Raw genomic sequence first — 26,652 nt, 5'->3', positions numbered from 1 at the left:
ATAACTTGAACCTGGGAGGGATAGGTTGCAGTGAGCTGAGATCATGCCAGTGCACTGCACTCCAGCCTGGGCAACAGAGTGAGATTCCGTCTCAAAAAAAAAAAAAGAGAGTTGTTTTATGCTTCTTACCGTCAAAGATATTACTATAATTCAGCTTGGGGGAAAACATGTTTGGAGGCTTCAGGCAACCTGAATTATAGCAAATTAAATAGTTTTCTCTATTTTTCAATCTCTGCTCCTAAGAAATATGAAAATGTATGCATCCTTTTTAAAGAAAAATAATCTGTTGACACCAGGATGTTATCAGGAAGAAAAGTACCTTTCCAAGTCTTTATCCAAATAACACAACTGATTTCTCCGTATCATGGCAGCCAAATCACCCCTACTGTTAAATACTGTTTCCCTAATATACTTCAAGTTTCCCTTTTGGTGGTAAAAGCCTGTTTCTTCTCATTTGCCACATTAGGCAATTAATTGGGTATTTATAGGCAGCTATCATAAACCTCACTGTCACCGCTACTAGTCATACATCTTAAATTCCCCACATCTTGCTACTTAAAACCTACCCCTTAATCACCTCATCATCTTTGTCACATTTTTAAAGTTTCCTTCCACTTAATCAACTCCATTTTCTAAGCTAGAGTACGAACAATTGTGCAGAATTCTCCTCATGCAGCTTTACTGAGGCTCAATGAAGAGGAAATGTTTTCTTCTTAAGTGATTTCTTTAGATCCCAGGATAGTTTCTGCTTCTAGTGCAAGAGCATCACCGTGTGAGCTATTCCTGATCTGCACGTCAGTGTTACCTTCAATCCATTTCCATTATTAATGCCTTTCCTTGTCAAATGAAGCTCTTCTGGTGGGGGCTGAGCCCACTAGGAGTGAAATCACCGCCCCCCACTGGAGGTCTCTTACCACACAGGTTCCCCGGGGCGTGCTCCTGGCCAACCCTCTCCCGCCCAGTGTTCATGGGTATTCCGCTGTCATAGCAGAAAGAACCCACTTTGACGCTCCCCGGGAACATTGGACCCTTGAGCTAAAAAAACAAAAGAAAATCCTGACCCTCGGAGGACGGTCAGTTTTCTTATTTGGTTTCCTCTCCCTTTGTTAGCACAATCCAGCCAATTTCTCCAGTAAATGACCATTACAACTTGTCTCATGTGGCTCCAAGGGACACATGTTCCTAGTGGGGTGACCCAAAAATCACTTTTCCACAGGATGTTAATAAGCGCTCTGAGGGAAAAAGGGCTCTGCTGTCAAATAACTGCAGGAAAGATGGTCTTCGATATCTCCCTCTTAGGCAAACACATTTCAGACTATCAATGCTTCTGAGAAATGTCAAAGTAAAGAAAATTCACTGACCTTTGCCTAATGCAGGTTTCCCAAAGTTGTTTGACAAAAGGGTCATTTTGTGGTGGGACAACTATTACTATTTCAGAAAACTAGGGTCCTCTAGGCAAGGAACATTTAGGAAATGCTGTGCTCTATCATGGGCCCCTCTCTAATTTCCCATAATTAAGCTGTTACAGTGTTATCTATGACCTCTGCATTATTTTCACCTGCATGAACTGTCTGAAAATAATGATTTTGGAGGAGGCTTTCACACTGCGTGGTCTCCATTGACTTTATACACAAAATATTTATCCAAGAGCTCCTACTTGGAAAACAAACAAAGGGGCCAGTTTAGCCTCACGTCCATCTGGCAGTGGCAGCCTCAGGATCTCCCAGTCCTCACTGTGTCTTATTTGACTGGTCACTGTCACATGCCCCATTACACAGTGCTTCTTGTCAGCCAGGACTTGGCACAGAGTAAACACTGGATAAACATTTGTTAAACGAAAGGATGATTTGTTTTATGTTATTTCTTAGAGAAACATGCGTGATTGTTTCAAGGTTTAATGGTTGAAAAATTAATGATGTGGCTAGTTTTATTTTTCCCCAAGACTACTTGTTACTGTAGATGAAGCTACGAGTTTATTAACTATCTATACTGTGTTTCCACTTAATCCTTCTATGTGCTGAGCACTGGACATTTATTATTATTTAATTATTATAAGTTGCAGTGAGTATTTGGTCTTCCTGTCACAGATAAGAAAGCTGCCACTGAAATACGTGAGACAGCCTGTCAATGATCTCCAAACATAAATTGCAAAACCAGGCTTTGAGCTCAGGTCTCGGTGACTAAGCCTACATGCTCTCCATTCTAGCCTATTTTGTATGCACACCACACATGCATTCTACATGTACACATGAAAACATCATAGAAGTTAATTAATATTTTTATGAATCATATTTTTGTTGTAGCTGAAAATGTATATAGCATGAAATTTACCATTTTGACCATTTTTAAGCGTACACTTTAGTGGCACTAAGTACATTCACATTGTTGTGCAACTATTATGCCATCCATCTCCAGAACTTTGTCATCTTCCCAAAGTGAAACTCTGTATTCTGTAAACACTAACTGGCCATACCCCTCTCCCTCCAGCCCCTGACAATCACTATTCTACTTTCTGTGTCTATGACCTTGACTACTCTAAGTACCTTATATGGAATCACGCAGTATTTGTCACTAATTTACTTTTAAACTTTTCTGGCCATAGTATCAACCACATGCTTGGGGAAGAAAAATCATCTTAACTCTATTATACCAACACAACATTGTTTGCAGTTTAATTAATGCTGCTCTGAGGAATCAGGCTGTAACTTTGAAATAAAACCAGCCCCAGGTCAGCAAGAGGAAATTTGCCCACACAGCACCATGGCCACAGAGATCACTGGAAAGACAAAAATTCTGGGTGATTCCAGGAGGCAGCTTAATATCTTGGGTCTTTTGATGATTGAAATCTGCATATATATCCCAAACATATCTCCTTTATTCCCCTTCCAAACAGCATTTCTGTTAATGTGTGAAAACAGTACAACTAGCGGGAAATGTAGTCCACATGTTTTGGTGCATTTACACTTATATACTCTTGAGAATATTAAAATGGCCTAACAATACATTTTCTGATGGCTGCTGCTGCTTTTTTTTTTAATAGAAACACAATTACAGACTTTGTTAAAAAAACAAAAACAACAACAACAAAAAAACCCACGTAATCCCAAAATAGGTAATCCCAAAACAGGTAATCCCAAAATAGGCTGAATCTAACTTTAAATTCTTAAAATGTAAATATTATTTAAATAAATGTCAACTGATCTTCAAATAAAACATTTAAAATATATCCAGCAGTCTTTAAATTAGAGACTAATGTAAGTAAGGTAAAAAAAAAAACTCAATAGTTGGTTCAACTTCCCTTTTTGGCTCAACTTTAGGAGATAATAGTAAATAGAGAAAAGAGGACAGATTAAAGATACACCCAGAGCTGGGTTTGAATTGCAACACTAACATTGGTTGGTATAGCAACATTAAGCAAATCTCTATTTTCTTATCTGTAAAATGGACATAGTAATATGGTTTACTGAATTGTCCCAGAGAAGAAACAAATGGTGTATATAAAGTATTCATATATATACCATATATAGACAAGTATTAAGCAGATGTTTATTTACTTACATTCCCTCCTCTCAAATTTGAATGCTCCACAGCAATTATGCCATTAAAACCTATTCACAAAATATAGTTAAATGCAGCACAGTGAATTGCATTTTTCCATTAAATTAAAAGGATGAAAAGACTAATCCCATTAGAACAAGAAAACAAGGCACTAGAAGCTGAGGTCAGTTATTTAAGGTCACACATGAACTTGAAGGCCCAGCAACAAAGAGAAAGCAGAATTAGTCTCTGTTGCAGATATTCTTTAAGTCTACGGAGGGTAGTGCTTCTTTAGTTTTTGTGGCTGCAGCATCTTCTTGGTACTTTTATTTGACCACATCCACGCCTCAAATGCCCAAAATGTCCTGCTATTAATTTTTTTCATTTTTAATTTGATTAAAATTTGGTTTTTGCTTAACTGTTTGAAATGCTTACGGCTTCTTGAAATAACCCAGGATTTAGAGCTCTTAGGAACATTTCAAACAGACACAAGGGTTGTAAGCAGATTAGACTAATTGGCAACCCACTCCAAGAGGCACACAGCCCATTCTGACTTACACAATGTTCAGATAAAGGGCAAATTAGGGAAGCATTTCAAGGTCCCTCGGGCCCCCCTTCCTATGTGGTATTAGAACATCTTACTCAAAGGAGGAACACTGAGACATGCTGACTGTTAATGCCATACCCAGATAAAGATATGACAACATGAAGATGTGGTTTCATTAAAGCTGATACATACAGGACAAATAAGATTCGCTCCAGCTGAGGAGAGAAGCAATAAGGCCCACATACCTAGCTCAGTGCCCCCAAATCCTGAAGGTTTGGGGATGATATGAAAAATGGGATATGATACATTTCCTATTGATTATAGTAAGGTATCTGAAGGTTTTTCTTTAACCCCTTTACTACCATTTCTTTATCTCCACCAACATCTTTTTAATATTATCATAACATTGTATGCTTAGTCAAAATTAAACTACAATCATTTTAAATAAAAAGGTGGCTTGCTCCATCTGGCTTAGTAAAGATAAATATTTTATCTAAGTCTTCTTAATCAGAATACTTCTTGACATCTTAAAGACTGATCATTAAAAAAAAAATTCCATGAAATTCAGCCCAATTTATCTCTTCATGCACCAAGAAGTCCCTTCTTGGTAATGCTGAAGGAAAGCAAAGCCACTCCTCTTTGAGAAAGGATTAAAATGACTCCCTGTCCAACCATGAATAAACCCAACCATAAAGCCAAGCAACTCACTCCTAGCTGAAGCCACTTGGAGGCAAAGATAATGTCACTTCTTGATTCTCCAAGTTAACGCCATGATACTGAAGTCCAAACTGGTAGATAATTTTAAAACTTTTGTATTTAGCTATTGTAAGATATTTGTTTTTACTTCTCTAATCAGTTTACATGTCTAATTAAATTTGATTAATTTATTCCCTAAATGCTTATCGTAAAGTCAGTACTTAAAGTTGATCCAGAAAGACTTTTTTGTGCACTCAGTGAAGGTTGGCTGCAGCTAATATACCAGGAACGCAATCAAGAACTGATGAAAATTTCTGATACATCTTCTGACACAATAGCAAAAACGGTATACCATCATTTAGCCTTTTACTCTTCCTGTGGCTTTTTATTTTTCTTTTGATTTCTATATTCAGGTTAACATTCAATGGTCCACTCGGATTATTTAAAACATACCTCTAATCTCAAGGATCATTCTGCATAGAGATACTGGAAAAAATCCCAAAGAATGTATGAGTCCAGTTAAATATTCCCCCAGGAAAATTCTTGAGCATAAATATCACTTCCTAGTAGTGAAAACTTACTCTGCACCCCAGGAATTCATTGATAACTTAGGGCTGATTTGCAATAAGAGTTTCTTGTCTGTTAGACACATTCACTTATCGGGAAGCCCACTAGGGTCTACGTTGATGAGGATATGTTGCAAAAGAACAACTGAGCTCTTGGCAGCTTTCCAAGTCCCAACTAACAGAAATAAGAATTCCCAGAGTATGAAAGCCCAGGTCTCACAAAATATTTCTTCCTCATGCCACAGATAAGCATAGTTGATGGAGATCCCTGAGTTGTATCAGCGACAGTAACTTGGCTCCTGATGCTTCTCTGGTGCCTGATGGAAAGACATTCCTGGGGATGCAATTCACGCCTCCTTTGTTTCCTCCCTGCTCTCCTAGGAAGGAAAATCACTGTGCTATTCATTTCTCACAGAACAGTAACAATGTCTACTACCCCACCTTATTGTTATAGGGACTTCCAGAGAAGACTCCAGGCACTCAATGGCAAGTCACCTGAGAATACACTGATTGATTTCACTCAGTACCCTGCCATGGGTTAAGGATTTAATAACGGTAAAAAAATAATTGAGGACTTTGGGAAGTACCCTAGCTAGTCTATTTGAAAATTCACTTTCCTGCCAACTTTCTCTCATTTTGTTGACAGACTCTAGAAACTTCCTTTCATCTCTTTCCTCTTTTTGCAGCTTAACCTGGTCCCTTAAGGAGTATGCTCTTTCTAGAAGATAGATTATGCACTACGCACAACATGAAAACTTTACACACTTTTCCTGTTGTCATCTGAAAGGCCTTTCTACCTGGAAGAAATAACTTATCTCACCTTTCATTTTCACATTGGTTTTACACAGAATTCCTTATGAGCACCAACATACTTAAACTTTATGGAGAGATATATGCTGAAACTTTGGTTCCTCTTAATTTTTCTTTTTCCCCAGTGAGATTTGTGACAGCTTTCCCCACTGCTGTTATCCATTATAGAAATTTAACTGCACTTTGAGGACATGTGATTTCAGAAACATGATCTAATTTTCTACCTAAAGAGAAGAAAAAAGCTAAAAGTAACAGGGGAAGGCAAAGTCTTGTGTAGCATAGAAAAGGCAGAGTTGTAATGCATGGAAAATACAAGGCAGTTACTCCATTTAATGTATAGGCTTCAAATTGAAAACTAACTAAATAAGTAAAATAAATTGTTATCAGAGAGCTTCTGCAGGTAGCCAGTCCATTAATAAAAAATGCATACTGAATAAATGGATCATAAATCAAGTTTTTGATTATCTAATAGTTTTCCATTGTAATCATCATCCAGAAAATGTTCTTAAGTTCCTAGTTGGCATACAGGGTGCTGGTTAGACTTCAAATTATGACATTTTTGCCCTCTGGGAGCTTATGAAGGTATACTGTCTCAAACCCAGAGAAGTGTTTTAGATCATTACTTACAAAACATCTTGCAAAACATTCAGAAATATAATGTGTCCGATAATAAAATAGAGGAGTACATTCAACTTTATACAAATTCACCTTAAAATCCAAACATCAATATTCTAATAATTTGATTCAAACTACACTAATGCATGGTGGTGACTACTGTCTCTGCATCCAACACCCACTAGTTAAAAACTGCTGCAAGTTCCAAATGTGAGTATTAAAATACTATGGATAAAGTATATTGAAGAACCTGGAGCTGCTTTCTGAAAAACACAGATCAGGGGACCAGCAGGCAGAAGCAATTCAATTTCGAATCCTTTTGCATGTATAGAAGACTGCTTCCCCTTCACAGCACAGACACACTCACCACTGAAACACTTCCCAGAAGTGCAACTAGAATCAAATGACTGCAATGCACATTCACAGGAAGTATCTGAAAAAGGTTATGGTGAGAAACTGCAGAGCTACACATCAAACTCTATTCCAATGACATCCTTTGAAGTTTGGCACTCAGCACCAATGCTAACTTGGCACCTCCACAGTACATGCAAGGACAGCATGCTCCACTCTGGCTCAAAGGCCAAAGACCGGTGTGATTGCAAGAAGATGCAAATAGTGAATGGCTTGGTGGAAATTGGCCAACCTTTGGAATGTGATAACTTATGCAAGATCTTCCCACTAAAGTCACAAATAAGGTGAAATTTACATAATGGCCCATCTCCTGTCGCAGAAATGCTGTGATGTAAACTTTAATGTGCTTTTTAAATTTCTGTAATTAACAAATACAAATTTCTATCAATTTCACAGTTTAAAATTTAGGACACTGTAAGTTTTACAAAAGTCTTCAACAGAGATAGAAATTACCCCTAAAATCAATCCATGAGAACATCTGCTAAACCGGTGGTTTCTATCCAAGCTCCACTCGCAAGTCCTACCTTCACTCCTCAGACAGTAGGAATCTCAGGGACCCCAGCATAGATATCTTTGAATTTTTTTTGATTTGTATTTAATGTGATTATTAGCTCTATTTTAGAACTTATTCCTCTGGCCTCTGGATCCCTCTTCGGGGTCACTGTGAGCCTGCCCCCTCCCTGTTTCTCCACTGGAGTGCTTTCTCTGCTCCTCCAGGGTGCCAGGCACTCACATTGTTCATGTATCTGATTGCATTTTTTTACATTATATAATTTCATTGAAGAATCATTGGCATTGTTGATGAATCACTGGATCATTACATCTATTAAAAAGCTATTTGTTCAAATTTTATCATAAAAACGTGAAAACATTTTATCCTATGTACAATGATGTACACAAATTTAAATAGGTCATCAAAGATACCTGAAGTAATTAAAGAGGTATATTTACAGTAGCACATCACAGTAGGTGGAAAACCACTCACAGATTCAACATTGATACTGTTTTTGTACTTAGTTACACACTGAAAGTGAAGCATACATTTCACTTCTCAGAGAAACCTTTCCTCAGCCTACACACTAAGTGAGGTCTCCCTGGTATGTGCACCCAGAGCCTTGAGCTGTAGCCCCTGATTCTCCAAGGAAACACTCAACCTACTTTTCCATGTTCATTGTTCATGCCTGTTTCCCTGGCCAAGCATAAGCTCCACGAGGGACTGGTCCTATCCAGTTTTCTCCCCAGAGCTTAAATAGTGTACCAGACACAGTAAGTTTAGTTAGGTTAGTTGTCGGGGGCAGGGGAGGGAATGTTTGAGGTTTTAGCACTCAATACAGGTTATATTAATTAAGAGCAAATTAGTACATTGTGCCTATCATGCTGACACTTCTATCATTAAGCTAATGGTGACCTCAAACTAACAACCACTTCCCTCACTGAGGCCTCTTAGAACACCAGAATGTTAGAGTCTGGCAAAGAGTCACATAATACCTGTTCTCACTTATACACCCATTGATAGTTCATTTTTCTTTGTCTCTCTTCACTTTTAACTGTATAATAGGCTTTAAAGTTCAGATGAGGGAGTACTTTAATGAATAATATACTAAATAAAGAACAATAGCATTAGCATAACTAAAACTCACACTTAGAGATAATTCATGGGCTTAACTAGTTTGCATGTTTTAACCAGATCATCTGTAAACACAAATTACATTTCTTTCCTAACTCTTTATTATAGTTTGAAGATGATAGAGACTCATATGAAAGGGAGTATTTGCAACAGATATAATAAAGGAAATAGTTTAGATGATACTACTTATTGTATTTTAATAATGGTAATGATTACAAAGATTGAAACAATGTACTAAATGGCTGAAATAATTATTTTCTTTAAGTAGCCAAAAGGGATTTTTAAGAGGTAAATAATTTCCTATCCTTGTCCAAAGTATATTAAACACGAGTTGACCAGTATCTTTAATGTATTAATCAATAAGCTCTCATCTGAAGGAATGCTATGTGGATTTATACAACTCTAAAGAAGGCTCTATAAATATCACATGATTTACTGCTGTTTTTAAGAGACAAGTTTCTGGTAATGACTAAGAAAGTGCTTCAGGCAAATTAGTGTGACATACAGAAAATTCAGTACTGGTTGCAAGAAGTTCATAAATAAGGCAGGAAATATAAATAAGTAGAATAATTTGGAATGGTAATAAGCTGGTAATGCTAATAATGCTAATAACAATCCTAATAAGGATTGTTACTGTAAACGTGAAGATGTGGATATGTATGTGTAAATCTATAGAACTATGTCTAGCAAATTCAAAATGTGTCTCCACTAGTTAACCAGAAAACAGTGTAGCAAAAGTCACCTTTAACTGTAGCTTGTGTTTCTTGTTTTGGCAGACTTACCATATTGAGACATTCTGAGGAAACTGAGTTATGTCTATAGCATTTATGAGTTCTCCAATGGGAACATCCCCAACAAAGAAAGGCAGAACTATCATAGGTAAATAAAATCAAGGACAGGTAGAATCCACAGACAAATTGTAAATTATATTACTGATACATTCCCTTTGCATTTAACAACTCTTGTCCTGTTTATGTGGCCTCTTATTGGGATATACTGAATTAGGAGATACAATAGCCTCTTTTTATCTGACATCTGTAAGCAGAATTGTCATTCCCCTCTCATGAGGAATTCAGATGTGCTGCACTCAAAACACACTCAGATTCTAATTCCAAACATTAACTAGACTCATGCATTTCATCTCAAATCTGGGAATTCCCATATTGATAATTCTATAGAAAGAATACAAGATAACAAGATAGACATACCAAAAAGATGACTAAGCCCTATAAACACTAAACAAAAATAGAATTTTCCAAAGGGAGATTAAAACAAAAAAAGGAGAAAGAAATTGCTGTGGATCTGAGAACTCTGTTGTAGTCAAGTGAATTTTTTACTCCAATTATTTACTTCTCCCTGTGCCCATGCTCCTCACCATATAACTTTGAAATTTCTCTCAGAAAGGGTCACATGTATTTCCCCACCCTTTTGGATACAGCCTAAAACTTGCTTTTGCCCGGGCACAGTGGCTGACATCTGTAATCCCAGCACTTTGGGAGGCCGAGGCAGGTGGATCACCCGAGGTCAGGAGTTTGAGACCAGCCTGGCCAACATGGTGAAATCCCGTCTCTACTAAATATACAGAAATTAGTTGGGTGTGGTGGTACGTCCCTGTAATCCCAGCTACTCAGGAGGCTGAGGCAGGGGAATTGCTTAAACCTGGGAGGTGGAGGTTGCAGTGAGCTGAGATTGCGTCACTGCACTTCAGCCTGGGCGACAGAGTGAGACTCTGTCTCAAAATAAATTAATTTAAAAAATAAAATTTGCTTGGACTAATAAGATGCAGGCATAAGGGTTTGCCAGCTGTACACCAACATCTTACATAGCACTGTGGTTTCTGCTTGCCCCAGTGTTCTGCAGCCATGACCGTCAGAAGAGTAGGAGAGACACACGGATTAGAAATGACTCCAAGCACAGGCAGGAGCTAAACCTGGCCAGACCTGGAACTAGAAGCAAAGCTACCCAGCTGAGCCCAAACTATATGAAACATCCCAGCTAATCCACATGCATGGGATAAACAAATGCTTATGTTTGAAAACCATTAAGAGCTTGAGGTTATTTCTTACACAGCATTCTTGTGACAATGGCTACCTGATACATTGATAAATTAAAGTGGGCAAAAGAAATATTCTTCCCTTCTAGTAATCTGTAAATAATACTTCCCTCCTGCTGAGATTTAGCTTTCGTTCACTTACAGTGAAAGTCAGCAAATTACGCCTGACTGAAAGAGTGTTACCTCCAATGAGTTCATTCTTGGTTGGCCACTGACTTACTTTTTTCCTCATTATCATGCTGACAATCATATTGACTTTCAAATGCTTACCCTTTCTCTAATGTGTTGGGGATACCAACCCCTGTATGACCTCATCTGTAAACTTGTGGGGTTAAGTGATCACTGGTTCTTCAGGGCCCAGACTTCCAAGGAGAGATGTGTGGAAGACCACAGCATGGTGGGCAGAGGAGGAAAGCTAAACAATAGGAGTGCTAACCTATCAATCAGCCTAACTCTGCTTCCATCTGTGTTAGCTACGGATTCTTCATGTGGAAAATCAGTTTTACTGTATAAATATCAAAAACTACTAGACCAGATGTTTTCTAAAGATCTAATACTCAAAGACTTATGATTACATTTTTTATTTTAACCACCCCTTCTTTTTATTTCTATTCCCATGACCCTAATTTAAGACACTATCACCTAAACTCCTGTATCACTTCCTAACCTGACCGCCGGCTTTAAGCTGTAAATTGTGTGATTTTATTCCCCTACTTAAAACGAGAGAAAACACAACTTTAACAGGGCCCCCAGGCTCTCCCTACCTCTCCAGTCTCATTTCCTGCCCCACTTCCCCACCTTTCATCCTGGCTTAGAACACACCCCACACTTCATCACCTCGGGGTTTTCTCCCATGCTGTTCCCTCTGCTGGAAATGCTCATCCTCTATTCGTTTTGCCCCTCAGTGTCATGTTATAAGTCTGCCTCTCAGAGAGACTTTCTTCGATCACCTAAACTACAGAAGGCCCCATCTGACCCCATCATTCTCTATGACAGCACATTCTTCTTTCTTTCTTTGCACTTATGACTTACAGTTATAGAAACATTTGTTGGTTGTTATATCATTCAACTTTCTATTAAGTATCAGTTCCAGGTGGCCAGGGGTGAAGTTGTCTGGTTTATTTTTGTATTTTTAGGACCCAAAGCAGTACCTGGCACATAGTATATACTCAGTAATACAGATGAGTGGATGAACTGATGAACTTCTTAGCTTTTGTCAACATTTTTTTCTACCACTTTTCTATACCATATAACATTTCCCTAGAACATGTGATCTCAGTTTTTCATTTGCTTATACCTGCTCTCTTAGTTACCTTCCTTAATCCATGCATAATATTCCTTATGTTCTTGAACATTAGAATTTTCTCTTCAACTTTCTTTATTCATCATACTTCCCTCTTCTTACTCTTTTCATGCGCGAGTGGTCACTATCTGGTAGGTTATGGGAGATTATTATAAAGCTGATCCCAAATCTTAGATTCTATTTAGGATAAAATTAACAAGAATAGTCCTTCAATAAATGAGATCAGATGCCTGTAGAAGTAAATACTCTATGCCACCTGACTGAGGTGACTGAAGAGTTTGGCAGATACCTAAATTCCAAGTAAGATGGCCAGGAAACGGTTTTAGGAAAAAACAATAACAAAAATTATATCCTAGCTAATTTCACTGACCTCCATCAGAAGAAAAGAAAAAAAAATAAGTGCTTGGTTTGTGTTTAGTCTAGAAAATATGGACACAATGAACAAATAATTTGGAACTCCATTGCTGGAATGTGGATTTTCCAGCGATGCCTGGAATAGAGAAAAAACATATCTGATAAAGGTAATATTGTGATTATCAGAGAAATGGAGGCTGTGGGAGGGAAATGTATTGGTCACAAGCTCTCACTGCAGTTTAAATGCACCACTTAAGAGGATGCTTTGAGAGTAGGCATGAGGCTACTGGCTGCTGAAATAAGAGCTCCCTCTGCAAGTAAAGAAGCTGGCATTTCGGCTTAGGCAGCAGTCTCTGGTGAGCTGGTTTAGTATGAATCAACTTCCAAAAATTCAATCTATTCTGGGTGTACTGAAAACATTTAGTTTCTTGTTCTGTAAAGCCAAGATCCACACCTTAAACCACGGTTCTGAAAGAAAATGCCCGAGCCTGAGCAGTCAGTAGCCTTCCTCGGACTCCAGTTACATCTTGCCTGGCTTTCTTTCCAATTCTCATATGAACGACACTCTATTTCTTGTTATTGGCCATACCTATTACTATCAACCTGTTGATAATTACATGATGTACTTTTGTGAGCACGTGATTACACAAAATGGAATTAAGAAATGCGAGCATTTTTTTGTCATCGTGGCAATCCGACACTCCTTAGAGCTAAGACACAATGCCATAGTCTCAGCATACATTTTTGTGAGTGCAGTCCTAGGATTCCCCTTTTACCCAATGTTATAAATTTGGATAATGTCTTGGAAAGTTGTTTGGGAGCTCATAAGCTACCTGTAGTAAACAGCATATGGGACAATTAATAAAGAAAGGTGCTAGAGAAAATACCAAAACTTTTCAGACCTGGGACGGAAATCTTCCCCACAGTTGGATGCTCCATCTCCATAACGAGGCCATTGTGTAATACCTGAAAAGGCAAAAACAGAGAGAAAAATAATTTACAAAATAAAACCATCTTCAATTGCAAGGCATGGACAGCCATCTATTCAGTCGACATCAAAGAAAGATATGGCAAAACACAGAAGTGTTTAACATTTTCATTTGAAAGTAAACATTTGACATAAAAATAACGTTTCATCCTATAATACACCAAATGAAGCCAAAAAAGACTAGAGGATTCACGGACTAGAAAACATTTCAATAAGACCTTCCCACTCTTAAAATTTTTATTTGCTCCTAAATATAGCAGATGATTTCCTCTCTTTCATTTATGGATGCTCCCCTAATATTAAAGCTCAGCCTTTTCCTGCATAACCTTATGGCAGGACTCGGCCAAGGTCAAGAAATAGGACCTCAAACAGAGCAGCACACTGGGGTGGTACACATGCTCCTGGAAATCTGTTCAGCAGAAGGTATGGGGAGTCAGTCCAGTTTGAAGAATAAATCAGAGTATCCAGAAGGCTCGGTGACTGCTGGAGGTGGAAGGATTCAGGGCTGCTGTGACAAGCAAATAAGCAGCTGACAGCAAATCCAGAGGAGACCCAGGTCAGAAGCAAGCACAGGGAAGCTGAACCAGGAACATTTTCAATGGTGGCCAAGACCTTAAGCATAAGACTAGAGTTCAGAAACAGGATTCCAGGATACTGGAGTAAAAAAGCCAGAGACTTCATCCCAGAGGGCTGATTAGGTTCTCATGCAATGGTGAGGCAGGAAATTTAAAAAATAATAATAAAATAAAATAAATTTTTCTATATTAAATTAATTTATTTCAAAGACAACAATAAGTATATTTTTATAAATTCTTATTCTCTATAACTAATAACTTCAAATATTCTATTTTCTCTAAAAATACAACAAAAATCATAAAAAAACTAAACAAACCTAAAACTACAACTATTAAACACCATAATAAAAATTATAAAATAAACCAATACAAAACTCTTTAAAACAAAACCTAAATAATAAACATCTAAATTAGTTAAAAACAATCATATACAATCATAAATTATAAACCTATTACAATTTAATTAACTATCTTTATCCTGCTTCTAGATCCCTACTTTCACGCCACTATAAACTTACTTCAAACTAACCCACCCCCTTTTATAAAATATACATAAAAATCAAATACTATCTTTATTCTAAACCCAATCTTTAAACATTAAATCTACTAAATCTAAATACACTCAGTAATAAAAATACCCTCCTACATACACCCCAAAGTCTCTCTCTAATCCTCCTAATCCCACAACAATGGGACCGAGATAGGTATCTAGTGTCCCACCAAGAACACAAGGTAGCTTTGGCTTGGATTTAAAATCTAAGGCCAGTTACTAGTGCAGGGACATTCTACCAGTGCCTGACAAGAGAAATGTGACTTGATGCTGAATCACTTGAGTACTGAAATGAAGCAACTTAAATCCCTGGCAAACGAAGGCTGGAATTTTCCCTGGGGGTAAGCAAAAAGACAAAATCCCCAGTGCCCTCCAACTAAAGGTGGTGGATGGGCTGAGGGCATGGAACCAAATTCTGATACATAAGTGTTGAATTATTGGAGGCAAAATGTTTTGTGATACGCAAATAAAAATGCAACACATTTTTTTATTTAAAAAAAAACAATTGGAGGCTACCTGGGTATACTGTCCCAAAGAATCCAACATCTATTACTGGAACCTTAGTAAGACATTTATGGGCATCTTACATATAAATTGTGTTTCACCTACACTATCTACCAAGCACAGAACCTCTCTTCCTGTCTTGTACGTGCATCTAAATGACAGAAGTATTTCAGTGGCACAGTAATCTTACAGACCACGATTTCATGCCAGCATCCCAAAGAGTGGCAGCTATAATGGTTCTACAGCATTTTGAGCTTCAGGTAAAAGCAAGATTTGCATATCTACCTTCTTACCATAATCCATTCACAGAGCAAAAGAGCATGGAATAAAGAAAGTAATAAAATGTTTTCTCACTTTGTTAAACTCGGAGAGAGAGCTCAAATTTCTTGGGTTTTATTCATTTCTAGTGAGTCACATCATAAAATAAATCATCAATAAGACAACTTCACGGGTGACCTTTTAAGTTTAGAACTACAGTTTTGCTATGGCTAAATATTCTGGCTGCCACTGGTTTCTTTGGGAATGGTTACCACTTTTCGGGTGATGCTCTTTAAACAACGATGTCAACCTCCCTCATTGAGGATGATAACACACCACACAGAGATGCTTTCTTTTGGGATCACCAGGTTTGTACTCAAGAGCTGGCCAGATAAAATTCTCGCCAGTGTTAGAATTGTGCTATAATTTAATTCTGGTGTGGCTCGTTCTCAGCACCCGCCCCGCACAGCTTCCTCCTATGTGGGGGTGGGGGCTAAATGCCAACGGGAGGTGCTAAATCTCAGTTCTACTGAGGACAGGAACAAAAATACCGAGCTAAATTTCACTCAAAACAATTATCTGCACACTGAATCATTCTTCTCTCCTCGTATCTCTGTTGCCCTCCTGACTACCTCTTTGTAATAACACTGCAGTGCTACTCACGAAAGACAAAAGTGAGTGTTCTTAGCTAAATATAACTTAACTGATAGTGTTGAAATTAATTAACGCTGAATTTTAATCATGTAGCAAACGTTAAGTGTCAAACGTGAAAGGGTAGTTGGTAAAGGTCAAGGGACATACGTCAAAGTTTTGTGAAGCAAAAGCTAGCAGTTGATTGAAATTTTCCACGGAAGCAGTTTAAAGAGCGTACTTTCTCCACCCCTATGCCGATTGCTGTCTATATAGGATATTTTCAGTATGACACTTTAACCTTATCAATGCCTTTGCATTGAAAACCATTCCGTTTTAAGCAAAAATATAAATTCTTCTTACATTCGGCAGAGGAAGTTGCAGTTTCTCATTTGCTGTAGCATGCATACAATTATGAGGCAAATGGGCTGGTGTGAGCCCCGTGTTCAGAAGGAACTGATGTATTCCCCTGCTTGGTTGCCGCCAACCTTTTCATATAAAGTGTGAAGTCCATACAATTCCATAGGCTTTCTTCTTGAATCAGGTCAGAATATCCCACAGAACAATGGAGGCTGTGGCAGTGCTGTCCCTGGAAACCCTGCCTAATGACTTGGAATCTTGGAAAACTCTCCAGCCTTGTTTGTGGGGCGAATCCTGCTCTGCTTAGTAACATATTAGAGGATTTCAGAACCCAGGAAGTCTGTCTGAATTCTAACATAAATCTCTCCTGCTTCATTACCCTTTCACGTTTGACACTTCAACTCCCTTTCATGTTTGACACTTAACTTTGCCACATGATTAAATTTGTCCCCTCTAAACTTCATTGGAAATGAAGGAACTACCTGTTATCACCATTTGTATAACATTTTTTGGTGAATGGTTACTAAATGTTTCCTTGTTCTTTTCTCATCTGGCCCCAACACCCCAACCTCTATCACCTTAACCTAGAAATTCAATTAAAAAATGTTTTGTTTTTCTGACCACTAACAATTAACTGCTATAATTTCCCTTAAGATATTCATGGCTTAAAGAGAGTTTCATGCCTTGGTGCTAGGTCTGGCCATTCAGGGCATTCTTTGTTGCATATTGAGTTATTTCAATATAAGGCAGGGAATTTCTCCAGAATTTTGTAGTGAATTTTGTCCATTTAGCAATGTCTTTGGATTTTACTGTTTTCTCCTTCATTTTACTTATTTTATCCTTCCTAGGTCTTTCATGGTTTAGTAGCTCTTCTAAATTCCATTTCTTCTCCTTGAAATTTCAAAAGCCTATTCTTGACAAGAATAGAATTGTAGTCAGTGCGCCAACCTCTTTAGCAAAGTATCAGGCCTATTTAAAATAAGGTCTCTCTTTCTTTCTCAAGCGTTTTACAGATTGACAGCCTAATGACAGAGTCAAGTGGTAATGTATTAATGATGGGGGGAAAGAGTAAAATGTATACCTTAAAGTAACGTGGGAAATAAAAGTTTAAGTGAAAGTAAGAAAGTCTTTTTATAAAGTCCTATGGCAGAAATGGCAGAAGAAAAAAATTTGTAATATAGCACTAGCAAGACAAAAAATGCAAAAAATAAAAATCCATAGACAGTGAAAATATTTATGGAAAGTGAGAGAGGAATATTCTAATGAAAAGACATGAAATTACATATACAAATGATATTTGTAAACACTACAGTGTCCTTACACATATCAAAATCAAAGTAATACCATCAATGGTATTAGCAATAATGTACAAAAGAGAACTGACCTATCTATTCACTGTGGATAATGATATGACCTATTCATTCAACAAACACGATAGCACTTATATGCTAGGCAAAATGAAGAAGCTGGCAGTGAAAAGATGAATGAACCTGCATTAAAAATGTATGTAATTAGAAGAGAGGGTACAGAATAAGAGATCTTTTTCATAACACAGTCATATAAATTGTTATAACACAGTTTAAGCTCCATAACAAAGGAGCAAATCCAAAGAGGAGCAAGTAAGTAACTCTGCCTATCTTGAAAGAAGTTGGTGATTTGTTAGATTAAGATAATATGACTTAGGTCAGGGAGGTTAGTAAAGACCAGAGAACAAAGATAATGTTGAAATTAGATGTTAAGGTTAAAAATAACAATGATAAATGTAGTAACAGCAGGTGCTGCTCAGCAAAACTCCTTAAGGGTCAGGCATTGGGTTAGGACATAAAGCTTTATTCATTTAATCCTCTCATTAACCAGACTAGGTAGGAATTATTATCTTCACCTCTACTGATAAGGTGTTAGAAACCTAGAGGGGCTAAGTATTTGTCCAAGATTTCACAATTACTAAATGGCTGATCTTGGATTATAATTTAGGTGTGTCTAATTTAGCCAGGTTCTGGCAGTTGGAGACAAAAAAAAATGGAAAAGCTTTATTTGATTTACCATTAAAATAACTAGCTGATGTGGTCAATTCTGTAAAAAAAATTAGTCACTTTAGTGGGGAAAGAAAATCAGCCAAACAGATTACATGACACCATGTGGTCCTATTAGTTAATACACTGAGCTGCACCATTGCAGGTAGCCAAGGATACTCTGGCACCACAGATACAAAGGCTGTGAAAATTGGAAGTATTTGAAGGGGATGGACCCAGAGGGTGATCTTGGGCAAGGCATTTAAGTAGTCTAAGGCTTAAAACCCTCATCAGTGGCCAGGCGTGGTGGCCCACATCTGTAATCCCAGCACTTTGGGAGGCCGAGGCAGGTGGATCACCTGAGTTCAGGAGTTCAAGACCAGCCTGGCCGACATGGCGAAACCCCGCGTCTACTAAAAAAAAAAAAAAAAAATTTAGCCAGGTGTGGTGGTGTGTGCCTGTAATCTCAGCTACTCGGGAGGCTGAGACAGGAGAATCGCTTGAACCCAGGAGACGGAGGTTGCAGTGAGTCAAGATTGTGCTACTGCACTCCAGCCTGGGCGACAGAGCAAGACTCCGTTTCAAAAATATATATTCAAAAAATTTTAAAAATAGAAAATTTAAAAAAAGAATCTTTATTAGTAAAAAGGGGATAATAATATCTCTTTCTAAGGGACGAAGTGCAATGATGAGTATAAAGCCCTGAGCATAGGCCCTGGTGCAGAGTGTGCTCACAAGAAGCGGCAACTGTTTTTCCTGTTACCAATAGACTGGGTTCAAACTCTGGCTTCATCAGGTACAAGATGTGTGGCTTTGGGGTACATTCATTGAACACATATTAAATGTACTAACAGTAAAGAACAATAATTAATAATAAGCATTAAATACATACTAATGTGCCAGGCATTGTTAAGTGCTGAGGAAAAACTGGGTCACAGAAAACTCAAGGTCATGCCCTCAAGAAGCTTACTGCCTTTTAAGGGAAACTTTCCAATTAAGCAGAAACCACTGGTCTGTTATTGTTACATAATATTATCTGTTTTGTCCCCTGCTATATGCCCAGTGCCATGAATGTTATCTGGCACTATCTGGTAGATGCTCAATTAACATTTACTGAATTTTTTTAAATTAAATTGAATTAACTGAGTAAATTGCAGGTACTTCCTTTTGGTTTCTTTATTTTATAGAAGTTGGGGGAGAGTGCTCTTATTTTAAGCTTTTAATGAATGCCTAGAGTTCTCTAGACACAAAACTGTTTTACTGAATTTCCAAAATACAGTCATTTTTAGGAACTTAGATATCAAGTTCTAGTGTTGCCTTGCAATTTCTTCAGTTTTCTAAAGCAGCTTCCAGCTGATCTTGAATCTGCCATATACACTGTACATATTTTAAGACACTCCAGAGGCCATGCCGAGAAGCTCTGCATGGACAATGGTCATTATCGATAAAGGAAAGCCAAAAAACATGGGCATGCACATTTATACATGTGAAATTAATCTACTAAACTTGAAGAAAACAATTACAGAGTTCTTCTTCATTAAGAATACTCAGAAAACCATTTTTAAAACACACAATATCTTACTAAGCAAAAAACACTGGAGTAATATTCTTTATTTTATTTCCCATTTTAGCAATTTAGTCATTCCTTTAGCATAATAGGAAAACAACCTTGGAATAATATTTGAAAGGTTACATAACTGAAGGCAAAACTTACAGTGAATATATTAAAAAGTTAATTCAACTATTTCTGAAAACTGTGCCCTCAAAAAATGCAAAAATAACATAAATTCCTGACAACAAATTGACATGAAATTTCCTAACTTTACTTACATCAGGGGTCCGCAAACCGGTACCATGGTCCATGGTATGGGGGTCCACAAACCAGTACCGGTCCTTGGCCTGTTAGGAAGTGACCTGAACAGCAGGAGGTGAGCAGTGGGCAAGGAGCATTACAGCTTGAGCTCCGCCTCCTGTCAGATGAGCGGCAGCATTAGATTCTCATAGGAGCGGGAAGCCTATTGTGAACTGCACATGTGAGGGATCTCGGTTGGACGCTGTTTATGAGAATCTAATGATAAATGTAATACCCTTGAATCATCCTGAAACCATCCCCCATCCCCGTCCATGGAAAAACTGTCTTCTACAAAACTGGCCCTGGTGCCAAAAAGATTGGGGACAGCTGACTTAGATAATGAAGATCACATGTAAAAGCTGACTTTTTTTGTTATCTTACTTCTTTGAAACAATTCACTGTTACTAAATTTCATTCTGCTGTGAATGCACCTGACATAGCCTTTTTCCTATTTTCTCTAATTTAAAAAAACTATGAAAATTGGTCATGCAATATACACACACACATAATTTACACAAACACATATATAATGTGTGTGCATATATATAGTGTGTATACATATAATGTACATAATATACACACACGTATATATAGCTTAATGTAGACTAATAAAATGAACACCCATGCACCAAACACCCAGCCTGAGAAACAGAACTACCAAAATGTTTAAAGTCCCAGGTGTACCCAGTCCCTCCCTCTTCTATCCCCAAATATAATTCTCCTGAATTTTGTTAATCTTTTCCTTTCTTTTTTTCTACTTGTATCAGTGTGTATATACTCCAAATATTTAGTTCTGGATTTCACCCATTTATAACATTTAATTCAATGAAATCAAGCATATGCTTCTCTGACTTGCTTTTTCTCATAACATTGTTTCTGAGATTCACCCATTCTGAGGCATGAGGCCATAGGCTAATCATGGCCATTAATATGAAGTATGCCATTGTATAAATACTCCATAATTTAACTGACTCTGCTTTTAGGTAGCTTCCAGTTATTTTACCATGGCAAACAATGCTGCCATTAACCCATCTCTTCATGCAACAATTTTTCTAGGGTATAAACCTAGAGCTAGATTTGCTATGGCATAGTGTTAAATATATCTTCACTTGTTGGGTAATGACAAATAATTTTCCTTAATCACTTACCAATCACTCCCACCAGTTGCTTTATATCTCAGCAAAACTTAATATTATCAGAGTTTTTAGGTTTTGCCAATCTGATCACTGTGAAATGGTATCTTATTAAAGCTTTAACTTGCATTTCCTTAATTACTAATCAGGTTGAGTATATTTTCCCTGCTTAATAGTAATTTGCATTTCCTCTTAAATGAAATGCTTATTCAAGAAGCTTTTCTACTGGCTTAATTATATTTTTATTTTTCTTTCTTTTTTTTTTTGAGACAGAGTCTCACTTTATCACCCAGGCTGGAGTGCAGTGGCGTGATCTCGGCTCACTGAACCCTCCTGGGTTCAGGCAATTCTCGTGCCTCAGCCTCCTGACTAGCTGGGATTACAGGCCTGTGCCACCACACTCGGCTAATTATTTGTATTTTTAGTAGAGACAGGGTTTCTCCATGTTATCTGACAGTCTTGAACTCCTGGCCTCAAGTGATCTGCCTGCCTCATCTCCCAAAGTGCTGGGATTACAGGTGTGAGCCACCATGCCAGGATGCTATCATGTATGAGTTTTTTACATATTCTGGATATGAATTCTTCATTGGTACATGAAAATACTGGAATTGAAATTATGGCTTTATTTCTCATTTATTTTGTATTATGTTTTGATGACCAAAAGTTCTTAATTTCAGCATTTTCAAACTTACTGAAATTTTCCTTTTGTTCTTCGCTTTTTATGACATATTTTAAAAATTATTTCCTATTCTTAAGTGTTAAAGATATTATCCTAAATTTTCTTATAAAATGTTTAAACCTTGATGCATTTATTCATAATAAAAGGTCACAAGTTAGGGATTGAAGGGAATAATCTCAACTTTTTAAAGAGCACCTACAAAAAATCTAAAGATAACATCATACTTAATGGTGAAATACTGAATGCTTTTCCTCTAAGATTGAAAATGAGGCAAGGAAAAAAATAATAATAAAAATAAAATAATAAAAATTAAAAATAAAATAAAAATAAAATAAAATGAGGCAAGGATGTCTGCTCCCACCACTCTTATTTGACTTATTACTAGAAGTTCTAGACACTGCAATAATCAAGAAAAGAAAAACATAAAAGGCACACAGATTGGAAAAATAAATAAAATAAAAATAAAAGGAACAAATATAAAAAATTAAAAGAAAAATTTAAAAAGGAAGAAATCATACAGATAACACAATTGTCCACATTGTCAAGAAAATATACAAAAATACTCTTAGGACTAATAAATGACTTCTTCAAGGTCTTAGGATACAAGACCAATGTACAGAGATCAATCATATTTTTGTATACCGACAATAAACATGTGCAAACCAAAATTAAAAACAACACCATTAATAGTCACTAAAAATAAAATGAAATACTTAGATATAAACAACAAAAAAATGTATAGACTGTGTATGCTGGAAATTATAAAATGTTGATGAAAGAAATCAATCAAGACCTAAACAAGTGGAGAAGCATACTATGTTCATGGACTGGATGATTCAACATAGTAAAGATCCCAATTCTCCCAAAATGTATAAGTTTAATGCAATTCTTACCAAAGTCCCAGGAAAGCTTTTTTGTAAACTTTTTAAAAAGTTCATTTTAAAATTTATATGGAAAGATAACAGCCTCAGAATGGCTTACACAATCATAAAAATAATAAAGAGATAATTACTCTATCTGATATTAAGATATACTATATAACTGCTAAACACCAAGCAGGTACTAGGAGAATATCATATTGGCAGAGAGACAGACACATAAATCAATAGAACAACAGAGAACTCAGAAATAGATCCACACAAATATGTCCAAATAATTTTTGACAAAGGTACAAATGCAATAGAGGAAGTAATACAGCCTTTTTGACAAATGGCACTGAAACATGTGTACTGGAGCTGGGGGGAAAAAAGAAACTCAACATAAAGCTCACATTGTAAAAAATTAATTCAAAACGGATCATAGATTTAAATGGAAAATGGTAACTATAAAATTTAGGAAAATAAACAGGAAAAATATTTAAATAAGAAAATAAACAGGAAAAACTATGGTACATCCATATTATGGAATACTCCTTAGCAATGAAAAGGAACAAACTATTGATTCACACAACAACCTGCGTCAATCTTAAGGGAATTGTGCTGAGTGAAAAACACCAATCCAAAAGATTACATAGTATATGATTTCATTGAACATAGCATTCTTGAAATGACAACATTCTAGAAGCAGAGAACAGATTGGGGGTCTCCAGAAGTTAGAGGAGAAATGGGAGTGGAGGGAAGGGAGGTGCATGTGGCTATAAAAGGGCAGCAGGAGAGATTTTCGTGGTGATGGAACTCTTCTCTATCTTGACTATATCAATGTCAATGCCCTCAATGTGATATTGTGGTATAGTTTTGCAAGAAGTTACCATTGGGGAACAGGGCTACATGGGATCTCTCTGTATTATTTCTTATCACTGCATGTTAATCTATAATTCTCTCAAAACAAAAAGCTTTTTTTTAATTATGGTCTCCTGTGGGTATAATGTGAGAGGGGACTCAATTTTATTTTCTCAGCTAGAAATATATTGATGAATAGAGTTTTAGTAGAAAACATTTTTATCTTGTTCCTAATTTTAAAGGAAATGCACTTAATGCCTCATCACTGAGTATGTTTGTGACAAGGAATAATGGCATACTTTATCAAGTTATAGAATCTATTCCTAGTTTGATGAGAAATTTTATTATAGATGTTTACTTACAGCAAATGGCTTTTAATCCATCTACTGGGAGGATCATATAATTTTTCTCCATTAATCTGATCACTTACAACTGCAGTAAGTGATCAAATGTATTGTCTTAAAATTGTTTGTTACTTGTACAATTTTAGAATAATTATCTGTTTCAGGTGAATTCAAATTTTTATTGACATGAGGTGACTTGAACAGTAATGCATTTTGTTTTAAAGTCGGTAGCATCTAACATTACTAAAGCTACACTGGCTTCATTTTGGTTTGTATGTTCTTCAAACATCATTTTTAACCTATATATATGCAACCTTTCTAAGTTTTTAGTTTTATGTGTATCTCTTGAAAATAGAAAATAGCAGGATTTATTCTATCTTTGCCTTTTAACTGAAAAGTTTACTGCATTTACATGAATTGACATTATTGACATGTTTTAATTCATCTTAGAATCTTACTTAGTGCCTATTTTTGGCCCCCTATAAAAAAATTCCCATCTTGCTGTGTTTGAGATTGATTGAGATTGTTTCCTCACATTTACTAGTTTGAAGATATATACTCTATCAAAAGGATAATCTTTTTTTTTTTTTTTTTTTTTTTAAGATGGAGTCTCGCTCTCTCACCCAGGCTGGAGTGCAGTGCTGTGATCTTGGCTCACTGCAACCTCTGCCTCCCTAGTTCAAGCGATTCTCCTGCCTCAGCCTCCTGAGTAGCTGGGATTACAGGTGCACACCACCACACCCAGCTTTTTGTATTTTTAGTAGAAACGGGGTTTTACCATGTTGGCCAGGATGGTCTTGATCTCCTGACCTCGTGATCTGCGCGATTATAGGCATGAGCCTCTGCGCCCGGCCTTTTTTTTTGTTTTTTTTGAGACGGAGTTTTACTCTTGTTGCCCAGGCCAGAGTGCAGTGGCACCATCTTGGCTCACTGCAACCTCCACCTCCTGGGTTATAGCGATTCTCCTGCCTCAGCCTCCCAAGTAGCTGGGATTACAGGCGCCCGCCACCACCCCTGGCTAATTTTTATATCAAGACGAAATTTTTTTTCCTCCAGAAGTCTTAACATGCATATTTAACTTAACAAAATAAAAATGTAATCAATACCAGTTATCCCCGTATCAATTATATGCCAGGATCCAGTTATCCCCCTACCAATTTATATGCCAGATGTTTTCAAACTTTCTTGGTTCCCCACATTTTTTCTGTCTCTGTAAATTTTTCATAATGCCCTTAGGCAAAAAGGAATACTGTTTTGTGTATTAAGTAGTATTGTTTTGTTTATTAATTAAGTAAAAACAATATGTATTCATATCCTAATAACTGAGTGGTCATTTGAAAAAATAATAGACATAAATTATAATAAAAGAAAAAAAATCTTTATTTGATTCTTAGCCACTATTACTTTCTAACAGTATATGTACATCTGTTAGGCACAGTAAAACTTCTTAAATCTTGGAATTGAATCAGATATCTCCATCCATATTTCTTGTTTTATATTGATTTTCTCTTGGTACTTGCATTTTTTTCATAGCAACATCCATCCAAAAACCAAGTTTGATCAAATGTGTTTATCAAAGGAATGTAGTGTGATTCAATGTCGAAGCTGTGAACTTGAGGACACTCTGTGCTGTGTCCAATATACATTGCCCTGTTTCCCTAGAAAATATAAACATCCTGCAGTGCCCCTGCGCATTCACTAGGATGTCATGAGTGCCTCAGTACATAGTTTGAGAACCACAGTTACCTGCAATTGGGTTCAGCATTTTGGTTTTCTATTTTTTTAATCTGGAAATCATTAGTATCAATACCGTTTTTCAAAATCAATGATTTTTAGCTTACTGTATGCTTATGCTAATTTTTGATCCCCATTTTTTTATCTTAGGCTTTCCTTTAGTGGCTATATTCTCTCTTCCTGTAGAATAGTTCTTTAGAATTTCCTTACTCATCTGTTCATAGTAAGTTCTCCTAGTAAGTTGGTTTTATTTTCCCCAAAGTTACTTTGCTTCCAAATAAAGATATTTTTTTCTTTATTTTTTTTCTTTCTTCTAAAAGATTTGTATTGGTTGTACATTTCTAAGCTGACAGTTAACCTTCTGTTGGTATACTGATGATATTATTCCATTGTCTTCTGAGTTTCACTATTGTTTTCAAGAAGTCAGCCATGATTCTAATTGTCTTTGCTTTGTAGGTAATCTGTATTTTTTTCCTCTGAGTGATTTAAAGATCTCTATGTCTTCTGTTTTCTACAGTTTAACCACCATCAGTCTAAACCTAAATACCTTTTTATTTAATGTATTTAATTTTTACTGAATCCATGTAGTCTTTAGGACTTCCTGAGTCTGAAAAATTATGTCTTCAAAAGTTTTGGAAAATTCCTAAGCATGGTAAAATATTGCCTCTGCCTATTTTCTCTAGCTTCCCCTGGAACTGCAGTTATATATACATTTATATATACACATAAATGTATATATAATGTATTATAAGATATAATAGATTATATAAATATTATAATATATTATATATTATAT

At 36.6% G+C, this 26,652-nt stretch overlaps 1 protein-coding gene across 17 annotated transcripts in view; it reads right to left on the bottom strand.

Moving 5' to 3' along the window:
* Nucleotides 1-26,652, bottom strand: part of SUGCT (succinyl-CoA:glutarate-CoA transferase) — a 903,812-nt gene that overhangs the window by 275,898 nt on the left and 601,262 nt on the right. For all 17 annotated transcript variants that reach the window (XR_007060157.1, XR_007060158.1, XR_007060156.1 and 14 more), the window contains one exon: nt 13,422-13,485. Coding sequence is in view for 14 of the 17 variants with exons in the window: in XM_047420840.1 (XP_047276796.1) it covers nt 13,422-13,485 (64 nt within the window). In the remaining 3 variants the exon portion in view is untranslated. The remainder of the gene's footprint in view (nt 1-13,421; nt 13,486-26,652) is intronic.

This window comes from Homo sapiens, chromosome 7, assembly GCF_000001405.40.
Source record: "Homo sapiens chromosome 7, GRCh38.p14 Primary Assembly".
In the NCBI taxonomy this organism is placed as follows: Eukaryota; Metazoa; Chordata; class Mammalia; order Primates; family Hominidae; genus Homo; species Homo sapiens.
The sequence above is the reverse complement of the archived record's forward strand: the minus strand, read 5'-3'. Positions and strand labels throughout refer to the sequence as shown.